The 11492-nt window shown below is 37.3% G+C and overlaps 1 long non-coding RNA gene across 3 annotated transcripts in view; it reads left to right on the forward strand.

The window, feature by feature from the left end:
* LOC105370150 (uncharacterized) overlaps positions 1-743 on the forward strand; it is a 50628-nt gene extending 49885 nt beyond the window's left edge. For all 3 annotated transcript variants that reach the window (XR_941830.1, XR_941829.1, XR_001749806.1), the window contains one exon: positions 608-743. This is a non-coding gene — a long non-coding RNA (uncharacterized LOC105370150). The remainder of the gene's footprint in view (positions 1-607) is intronic.
* Positions 744-11492: the final 10749 nt, after the last annotated feature.

Below are 11492 nucleotides of genomic sequence, written 5' to 3' on the forward strand. Positions count from 1 at the left end.
TTCAGGAAGAAAGGTGGTAGGAGAAAGATAAATAGAAAAGAAGGAGGAGTAGTAAAAGCAGGAGGAGGAAAGAGAAAGGAAGGAAAAGAGATAAACATATATCCTTATAGTTTTAAATATAACTTAGTTTTTCTTATAAATCTTATTCTGATACTGTATTCAAGAGACCCTAGGAACATTTTTAGTTTCTTAAGATAAGCAAAGGGAAACATGAGATTTTATTGAAAGAAAAGATGTTCTAAAGGACAGAAACAAAAGGGACTGTCTCTTCTTAGAGCACAACTCTTATGGCAATTGAATGAGCTAAAGGGCCTTAGTGCTCATCCAATCCTAAATTGCTGAAATAGTAATTTAAGTCACTCACCATCTCTTTTGTTTAACTGCAGCTATTCTTGAATAATGGAAGAATAGGTACATAGAATAACTTTTTAACAATGTCTCACTCCTGACACAGAAGAAGTTCTTTGTTAATGCATTTAACTGAATTCTGATTTAATAGTTCAATTCATTTATTTCAACCAATATTTATTGGCTGGTGATACAATTGCTTCTCAAGGAGAAATGATTTGAACAGGAGAAGAGTTTTTAAAATATTTTTTTAAAATAGGAGATTTGTACACCAAGATTCTTCTGTGCTGTAGTCAAAAGTGATGTGCCCTTGAATGGACTCTGAATGTCCTTCAACACAATAGACATGGCCAAGGAAAATAAACCTGAAGAAAAGAAATCCTGGAAAGACTGGAGGTCTAAGAGGCATGGCCAGGGTGTTGAATGTAAGTGAATGTAACAGATGAACTTCTGCATTTGGGGCTATTCTCTGAGTCACCTTGTTTTATCATAAGCAATTGAGCCATGGAAGAAATGCAGAGTAAATATTCTAACTCCAGAGGATACATGCTTTGTAGTTCACAACCTTCAAGATGAGGTTGATACTTCAGCCTTCAAGATGACACTAATCAGGCCATGCATTTCTCTGAGCTTTGGCTTCCTTATTTGTTAACAAAACAAGGTGAAATATGACTTGGTTATGAACATGAGCTTCAAGGTCAGGCATAGATAGTTCAAGTCATGCTCTGGCATTTACTAATGATTTAAATATGGATAAGTTATTTAACCTAAGCTTTAAAAAAAGGTTTTCTTTTATTTTAGTTTTGAAGCTGTGAAATGAGGATTAGAAAAATACGTATGTCATAGAACTGTGAGATTGAAGTAGTTTAGTTCGTTAAAGCACTTAGCACTTAGTCCCAATGCCTAGACAACACAACCTCCCATAAATGTTGCCGTTATTATTATTATTATTTCAGTTAAGATTTTTAATGTCTCATCATAATATCTAAAGATTGCTCGTTGTAATAATACTAATCCACAAAATAAACCCTCATTGGAGGTGATTAATAGCAAGAGCCTGGGTAATTATTGAGGTTATTTTTCCCTACGCATTTGCAAAACGTTGAATCCAACCGTCTTAACCAAGTATCCTGAAGGCTATAGGTACTCACGCACTTAAAGAGAAGGGACGATTTATGGTAGACCCTGCTAGGGCTTTCCAAAATCCACTTTTTCTTTCCTTCTTAGACATATAGGAGTCTTTATTTTCCAACCATATGGGGTCCTGTGACTTGTTCTGCTCAATGACAAATTGAGAAGACATGAGGTGTCATTTTTAAGGCAGTGAAAAGCCTTGGAGATTGTTGAGGTCTCTCCTCCTGTGAAATGATGAAACCAGGGGCTCTAAGCTGCATAGTTGACTGAATCACCACATGGAGGAAATCGGATCTGGAAAGTCAGCCAGGTCTACAGTGGACTTTGCATGCCAAAAACCTGTTACTGTGTAAGGCACTGAGTTAATGGGGCTGTTTGTTACAGCTGTGTGGTACAGGGGATCCTCACTAATACACTGTTAAAAAGCTCAAAGTTACTCTTCATTTTGCAGATCTTAAATTGAGAGAGTTAAGTAGTTACAAGACAGAGATCACCCAGTTAGTGGCACAGCTAGGACTAAAATCCTATTCCCAGGTTTCTTTCTAGTACATGTCTCTGTCTATTGAGATACCATACTCCACACTTAATTTGCAGGACTAATATAAAGAATAGGGACAAGGTAAGTAAAATACCTAGCACAAAACTCATCCCATAGTGGGTAATTTAAAAAATAATAACTAATGTTTTGATTCTCTGTATTTAAAAACGTATCGCTATTGCTCTACACTTCTGCCTGTGCCAAACATGCTGATTGATGCCCTTTAATTCTGAACCAATATTAAACTAAAAATTGATAATGCATCTCAATTTGGGAGCAATTATATTTTTATAGCTTAGACTGCTGGTGCAGAATCTATACTTCACTCCATTTACATCCATTTAACACAAGAGAAATGCCAGTCCATTTTTCAGATAATGACATAAAATTCATTCACATTTTAAGCATCTAGAAACTTTGAGAATTTATAAAATCAGAAGCCAGACTCCTGAGAATTATTTTGTCATCATCCCTTCTTGGTTTTAATTCCTCTATCCTTGCATCTCCTCTCATCCTCCCCATCTTTACCTGTGCTCTTTATGGTGTTTCCCTTGTCTTTTGAGAGAAGTATTATCATATCATAGTAAATTCCTTTTGGCATTGCTAAGAAGGCATCTGGCTTCAGCGTAATTCAAGGATATCAGAAGGCATTTAAACTATTAGTAGGAATATAGTATCTTCAGCTCAGAAAGGTTTTGGAGCTCATCCAATCCTTATTCTAAATTAGGTCTTAAATTCTCATCCAAACAAATGTGTCAGAATTTCCAGAGATACATCTTAAAATTGTTAATTCTTAGCCCCACCTTAATCTACTGAATCATAACACCCATGATTATAGAGGGGCATAATAATTTCTAATTTTAAAAAACATTGTTTTCATCACATTCCTCTATTTCCTTCTGGTTATATCTCCTACTAGGTCATTTCAATGTGTGGTCTAATTGGGGAACTACTGATTAAGTTTCAGTTTTTCCCTGATTCTGGAATCACTTCTACAAACTCTGGCAAATTTTCTCCTATTATACATATTGTTGCCGATTTGATACTGTTACCTACTATATTAGCTATTTGCACCTTCATCTACAGCTTCGTATATTTATAGAGATGATACACAGAATGCTTTGTTTTATTCCCACAATGATGGATAAAGAGCAAGATAAAGAGCAGATTTATGTATATATAATATACATTTATATTTATGTATATTATATATGTGTATATTTACTCAATAAGCATTATTAAAAACAATCTGAAGGGAAGTCTTTATGGTATAATATGTTTTATATATAATATATATTTAATTTAATTATAAATATATATAATATACATAAATATATAATATAATATACTATACACAAATATAAATATATATACAATATAATCTACCATGTAGACTTCCCTTCAGATTGTTATTGATAATGCTTATTGAGTAAATAATACTCTTTTCTGTGGATACATTTTCCACTGTTAATAGTCACTAAGTTTTACTTTCGAAATTTATAGTAGCAACATTTAAAAATTAAGGCCAACGCTAAGCTATTTTGAACACCTTTATCACATCTTTTGAAGACAAAGAATCCTTTAGAGCTGAACGAAAGCAGTTGTTACGTTGAGAACATTAGAAATTCAACAGCAGCAAGTAGGCTAACTTGGAAATATTTATTGCAGCTTTATTCATAACAGCCCTGAACTAGAAATGAACGGATTCACCAATTGTTCATTGCACAATTAAACTCCTTTAAATTTAATTCAGCTGAAGTTTTTCTTTTATCAAGCTCCAGCCCCCAATCTCCAGGGAGGGAAGAAGGGCTGAAGGTAAAGTTGATTACCAATGGCCAATGAAGTAAAGAGTCAGTCATACCTGTGTAATGAAGCCTCCATCAAAACCTAAAAGGGACTGGATTCTGGGACCTTCCAGAGAGCTGAAAGCATGGTGGTTTCTGGAGGGTTGCGTGCCCAGGGAGGACATGGAAGCTCCACGTCAACTACCTGTGCATCTCTTCATCCAGCTGCTCGTCTGTATCTTTTGTAGTATCCTTTATAATAAATGGTACGTGAAAGTAAAGTGTTTCCCTGAGTTCTGTGAGCCACTCTAGCAAATTAATCAAGCCCAAGGAGGGGGTCCATCGTGAGAACTCCCAATTTATAACTGGTCAGTCAGGAGTATACGTGACAACCTACTACTTGGTATCTGATGCTATTTCCAGGTAGATAGTGACAGAAGTGAGTTGAGTTAGAGGATACCTAGCTGGCGTCCACTGCAGAATTGATTGGTTGCTGGTGGGGAGAACTCCCCACACATTTTGGTGACCGGAGGTAAAGTATTCATTGTTGACTATGTGACAGTAGGAAAAACAGTTTAGGTTTCCCATCCTTTTAGAGGTAGACTCAACCTTGAAAAATAAATAGGGTCCAAAACTACACTACATGTCAACGGGGAATTTTTCTACACTCAGACTAGGTGAAAGAGGACATTCAATCACTGTAAAAATATTTTTCTTAATCCTGGTTTTATAAAAGAATAAAGCTCATTATGGAAAACTGAGAAAGATAAAAAAGTAGTAAAAAGAAAACCCAAAGTAGTCATAATTCCGTAATCCAGGGGTAACTATATTTAGTGTTTTGTCGTACATGCTTCCAGGAACCTATGCGTGTGTGTATCATATTGCCTTGACCTTGGAAGCTTTCAATTTTAAGATACATTATTAACTTAATAACATTTTACTGAAAACAAGTTTTTAAAATGTAACACATAATGCATTATTTTAAATCTTCTATTTTATTTAGTCCAGATAATGTCATAAATTGCTTTGAATCATCAATAGCTATCACCACCAGTAGAGTGATGTATGTGATGCTTTTCATAATCGAGGCCTGTGATCATCACTTCTTCATTTCTTGTAGAAATGAAAATATAATTTTGATGTATACTGAAAAAAAATCAGGGTTTTTCTGCATTTCCTGTTTCGTTAAACTTATTCCAAGTTTTTTCTTATCTGGAATACCTACTTTCTCTTGGTCATCAGCCGGAGCTTCTGAAAATAGATTTGAGGCCTGAGTAAAAGTCCTTCACTACTCTTGAATTGGTCATGCCACCTCTCCTAGCTTTGAAAATTCGAAGACTGAGATCAATTTCTACAGCATTTAATGCCATTGCCTGTGTGTGATTGACCAAGTGCACGACAGGCAATCTTCTGCAGACAAAATCATTTTTGTTTGAAGTATGCATCTAGAATAATTTTAAATCATTAGAAGCAATAATTTGTGATTCAAATTTATGTTAAATGCAACTGCTTATACTATGCCAGTATAAATAACTCAGCTGAGATAGCAATCTGATGAACATATATGTACATAAATTATGATTCCTATTTATGATTATTTTCTTATGGTACATTCTTTGATAACCTAAACTCAAAATATTGAGATAAATATTTTGTTTTATCTTAAATGTCTTTGATTATTAGTGAGGTCAAATACGTTTTATACTTATTGGCCATTTGCATTTTTTTTTTTTAGACAGAGTCTCACTCTATCACCCAGGCTGGAGTGCAGTGGCATGATCTCAGTTCACTGCAACCTCCGCCTCCCAGGTTCAAACAATTCTCCTGCCTCAGCCTCCCGAGTAGCTGGGACCACAAGTGTGCACCATCACACCCAGTTAAATTTTGTATTTTTAGTAGAGATGGGGTTTTACCATGTTGACCAGGCTGGTCTCGAACTCCTGACCTCAAGTGATCCACCCGCCTCAGCCTCCCAAAGTGCTGGGATTACAAGCCCCTGCGCCTGACCCAGCCATTTGCATTTTTTTCTCCCGTGAATTGCCCTGGAAATGCCATCTGCTCATTTTTCTTTGTCATTTTTATTTCTAATGTGTAAATATTCATATGCTAAGGAAAGTAGCCTTTGCTTATCACATTTGAGGTAAATATTTTCCCAATATCTTGATTGACTTTTAAACTTATGTTTGTGTGCGCATATAAAATATTTATCTATGTCTACGAAATCAAATGAATCCATTGTTTTCATTAGGATTTCTTTCTTTCAATGATTTTATACTTGGAAAGTTCTTTCTCTCTTTGAAGTTAGATTAAGATTTAAAAAATATATTTTAAATATATTTAATATTAAAAAAATAAAATGCATTTGCTTGAAAAATATATTTTTGTTTATAGTTTTATATTTTATATATCTCTTGATCCACCTGGAATTTAATGTGAGTTATGGAAAGCTCTATTTTTAATTACAGGAAATAATTTATGTAATTCATCTGCCTCTGAGTAATTTATCATACTTTGCTTATTATTATATTAGGTTATATAACAAGTTACATTTCTGGATTCTCCTTCTGCCCAATAGATGTACTATTGATGTCTTTTCTTACATCAATAGTACATAAATGTAATTGTTGTAGAATATCAGCTTGCACTGCATTCAACTTCAGTAGAAATCTGTACTAGGAAGAAGGCATTTTTTTTTTTCACTTTATAAAAGTCAACGGGCGAGTAGCCCAGAGCTGATTCAGCTGCTCAAGATAACACCAGAAACTGATAATTCTGCCTACTTCTCATGCTTTCAGACTCACTGGAATTCACAGCATCAGCTCCGTGGCTTTCCCACTCCCTGACCGCAGATCTTGGGACTTCTCCGCCTCCATATTGCATGAGCCAATTTCTTCTTATATACATATACATATATATGTATATATTTATAATATAAATATATTTGAATACTTTTTGTAGCAAATAACTTCCCTTTTCTTCCCCGTTCACCCTTACTGAGCCTTATTATCTGAGATAATAAACACCCTACTAACTTTAAAATGTAGGTAACCCCTTCAAATTTAAAGCAAGTTATGTGAAATCAATTATGTGAGTATTTAAAACAACTGCTATATCTACCTCTGTATCTCCATCTGGTTTCAAATTTCTCTGCTAATCCTTTCTAGTCACTTTTTTTTTACTCTCAAGCTCTTTCATTGTTCTTTAAATTTGTTTTTTCTGCCACTGAACATCTGTTTGTGACTTTTTTTGGTCTTCACGTATAAACTTCAGTCACGTGGGTTTTTTTGTTTGTTTTTTTCTACTGGGAGCTTTGGGTATTGCAGTATTGTCTTCTAGCATTTACTGATTTTAAGAAGCACTTTGGGGCCAACTTGATGTGTTTCTCTGTGGTAGACTGAACATTTTCTTCTGATTGCTTTTAGAGTCTTTTAATCTCCCCAAATTCTAGCAAAATATGTCTTTTTTGAAATTGTTTTTTCTCATAACATGAAGTACAGTCTCAATTTTTAGATTTAAGTTTTATTTATTTAGATCAGGAAAGCATCCTTCTATTTTGGGGGGTTGTTGTTTCTAAATTTCATATTTGTTACCTTTGGGAATCTTAAGATCTGTCATTTGGAGATCTTAAATTGAGCTGCCTTTTCTATCTTTTTCTACTTTTACTCTATTTCTGGAAGGATGCTTCCTCATTCAAAGTTAATTTTTTTCAGTATCAAATCTGTTATTCATGTCTTAAACTCCTTTTTTAAAATTGTGTTTTCCATGTTCTTTTAATTGTGGATTATTCTTTATTTATGACTAATTATTTTAACTTGATAGATGAAAAAATCTGAAATATTTTCTAAGATTTTTCACCTTCCTTTGTTAAATGTCTTTCAAAAGGAGTTAGCCTTTGTGATTCTTTTGAACCACAGCATCTCTTTATTGACACCATGATTTTTCTTCTCCTTTCCTAAAAGAAGGAGGTGAATGCTTATTTGGTGTGGTGTACCAGTTAGCAATTTCTGCATAACAAACCACTCCAAACTTACTGGTTTCATATAATGATGATATTTAGTTTATGATTCTGTGGAACAACAGTTTAGGCTGGACTCAGTTGGATGGTTCTTTGAGTTTTTGTTGGACTCCCTCATGCATTGGTGGTCAACCTGAGGTCAGTTAAGTGACTCTGATTCCGAAAGTTGAGTGGCTGCTAGCTAGAGCACCTCACCTGTTCTCCACAGCCTCTCATTTCCTACTAAGCTAGCTTAAGCTTGTGCTCATAGGAGGATAATGTGTCCAGGAGAGCAAGGACACACATGAAAGCACCTTTATACATTTCTGCTTGCATTGAGTTTGCTACTGTCTCATTAGTGAAAACAAGTCACATGGCTAAACTCAGCATCACAGTGGGGGAGGACTGCAGCATTACAGGGCAAGGGGGGTGAGATCACCAAAATAAACGTAAGATTTGAAAATTTTATGTTTTCATAAGGATGAGTCGTTTAACTTATTCCAGCTAGACAAAAAGAAAAGCAAGCAGAAATTCCAAAGTTCTGTTTGCGGTTACATTTTATACAAAACATGTGGTGTCTCAAAAGCATTAATTTCTCAAGTGATCTTTGAAAACACTGGGAATTAAGTGATTGGTCACAGACTTTGGGAATTCCAAAGTTTTTATTATTAGTAGTGTATTAATCAGTTTTCACACTGCTGATAAAGACATACCCGAGACTGGGAAGAAAAATAAGTTTAATAGACTCAGTTCCATGTGGCTGGAGAGGCCTCACAATCATGGCGGAAGGTGAAAGGCACTTCTTACTTGGCAGCAGTAAGACAGAATGAAAGTCAAGCAAAAGGGGTTTCCCATTATAAAACCATCAGATCTCATGGACTTATTCACTACCAGGAGAACACTATGGGAGAAACCGCCCCCATGATTCAATTATCTCCCACCAGGTCCCTCCCACAACACATGGGAATTATGGGAGTACAAGTCAAGGTGAGATTTGGGTGGAGACACAGAGCCAAACTACATCATTCTGCCCCTGGCCCCTACTAATCTCATGTCCTCACATTTCAAAACCAAATCATGCCTTCCCAATAGTCCCCCAAAGTCTTAACTCATTTCAGCATTAACTCAAAAGTCCAAAGTCTCATCTGAGACAAGGCAAGTCTCTTCTGCCTGTCTCTTCTGCCTGTGAGCCTGTAAAATCAAAAGCAAGTTAGTTACTTCCTAGGTACAAGGGGGTATAGGCATTGGGTAAATATAGCCATTCCAAATGGGAGACATTGGCCAAAACAAAGGGGCTACAGGCCCCTGGCAAGTCCAAAATCCAGCAGGGCAGTCAAATTTTAGAACTCAAGAATGATCTCCTTTGACTCCATGTTTCACATCCAGGTCATGCTGATGCAAGAGGTGGGTCCCCATGGTCTTGGGCAGCTCCACTCTTGTGGCTTTCCAGGGTACAGCCCCCACTCCTGGCTGCTTTTATGGCTGGCACTGAGTGTCTGCAGCTTTTCTGGGCATATGGTGCAAGCTGTTGGTGGCTACCATTCTGGGGTCTGGAGGATGGTGCCCTCTTCCCACAGCTCCATTAGGCAGCGCCCCAGTGGGGACTCTGTGTGGGGATGCCGACCCCACATTTCCCTTCCGCACTGCCCTAGCAGAGGTTTTCTATGAGCGCCCCATCCCTGCAGTAAACTTCTGCCTAGACATCTGAGTGTTTCCATACATCCTCTGAAATCTAGGTGGAGGTTCCCAAACCTCAATTCTTGACTTCTGTGCATCTGCAGGCTCAACACCACATGAAAGCTGCCAAGGCTTGGGACTTGCACCCTCTGAAGCCATGGCATGAGCTGTACCTTGACCCCCTTTTGCCATGGCTGGAGCAGCTGGGATGCAGGGCACCAAGTCCCTAGACTGCACACAGCAGAGGGACCCTAGGCCTGGCCCACAAAACCATTATTTCTTCTTAGTCCTCTGGGTTTGTGATGGGAGGGGCTGCCACAAGTTCTCTGACATACCGTGGAGACATTTTCCCCATTGTGTTGGTGATTAACTTTCGGCTTCTTGTTACTTATGCAAGTTTCTGCACGTGGCTTAAATTTCTCCTCAGAAAATGGGATTTCATTTTCTATCACATTGTCAGCCTGCAAATTTTCTGAATTTTTTGTGCTCTGTTTTCCCATTAAAACTGAATACAGGCTGGGCACCTGTAATCCCAGCACTTTGGGAGGCTGAGGCGGGCAGATCACCTCAGGTCAGGAGTTCGAGAGCAACCTGGCCAACATGGTGAAACCCTGTCTGTACTAAAAATACAAAAATTAGCCAGATGTGTTGATGCACACCTGTAGTCCCAGCTTCTTGGGAGGCTGAGGCAGGAAAATCACGTGAACCTGGGAGGTGGAGGTTGCAGTGAGCCGAGATCACACCACTGCACTCCAGCCTGGGTGACAGAGCAAGACTGCATCTCAAAAAAAAAAAAAAAAGAAAGAAAAAAAAAAACTGAATGCATTTAACAGCACCCAAGTCACCTCTTGAATGCTTTGCTGCTTAGAAATTTCTTCTGCCAGATATCCTAAATCATCTCTCTCAACTTCAAATTTCCACAAATCTCTAGGGCAGAGGCAAAGTGCCATCAGCCTCTTTGCTAAAACATTAAGAGTCACCTTTGCTCCAGTTCCCAACAAGTTCCTCATCTCTATCTGAAACACCTCAGCTTGGATTTCATTGTCCATATCATTATCAGCATTTTTGTCAAAGCCATTCAACAAGTCTCTATGGAGTTCCAAACTTTCCCACATTTTTCTGTCTTCTGAGCCCTCCAAATTTTTCCAACTTCTGCCTGTTACCCAGTTCCAAAGTCGCTTCCACATTTTCAGGTATCTTTTCAAGAGTGCCCCACTCTACTGATACCAATTTACTGTATTAGTCAGTTTTCACGCTGCTGATAAAGACATACCCAAGACTGGGAAGAAAAAGGTTTAATGGACTCACAGTTCCACGTGGCTGGGGAGGTCTCACAATCATGGCAGAAGGTGAAAGGCATTTCTTACGTGGTGGCAGCAAGACAGAACGAAAGTCAAGCAAAAGGGGTTTCCTCTTATAAAACTACCAGATCTTGTGAGACTTATTCACTACTACAAGAACAGTATGGGAGAAAGTGCCCCCATGATTCAATTATCTCCCACCATGTCCTTCCCACAACATGTGGGAATTATGGGAGTACAATTCAAGATGAGATTGGGGTGGGGACACAAAGCCAAACCATATCAAGTAGTGTCAGCAAAGTTTAATTTATTTCAAAGCCTTGAATGAAAGCTACATAATAATATAATGGAATAAATACACCTAAGTCCTCAACATATGAACCTGCCTAAATATAGGGAAAACTAAGGAAAGTTTTATTCTTCATTGAGAAGTTCTGCAAAGTCCAGTTTTAGCATGTCACACAACTGAAAGGACTAACTTAAATATCTTCCTCTTTAGAGAAGACTTAGACAAAGACTTATGCTCCAGAATTTTAAGAAGAAATCAAAGCAAGCTTGAATACATTTCAGAAGCTCTTCTAACTTAGAGAAGCTCTTCCACTTCTTAGTAAATAGTGCCATAGGATAGAGCTTAAAGAGCTTAGAAAGAGTCAGAAAGAAGGAAAATAAAGAGATACCTATATGGAGATGTGAAAGGATGTGGGTTTAGACTTACG

Source organism: Homo sapiens, chromosome 13 (genome assembly GCF_000001405.40).
Source record: "Homo sapiens chromosome 13, GRCh38.p14 Primary Assembly".
In the NCBI taxonomy this organism is placed as follows: Eukaryota; Metazoa; Chordata; class Mammalia; order Primates; family Hominidae; genus Homo; species Homo sapiens.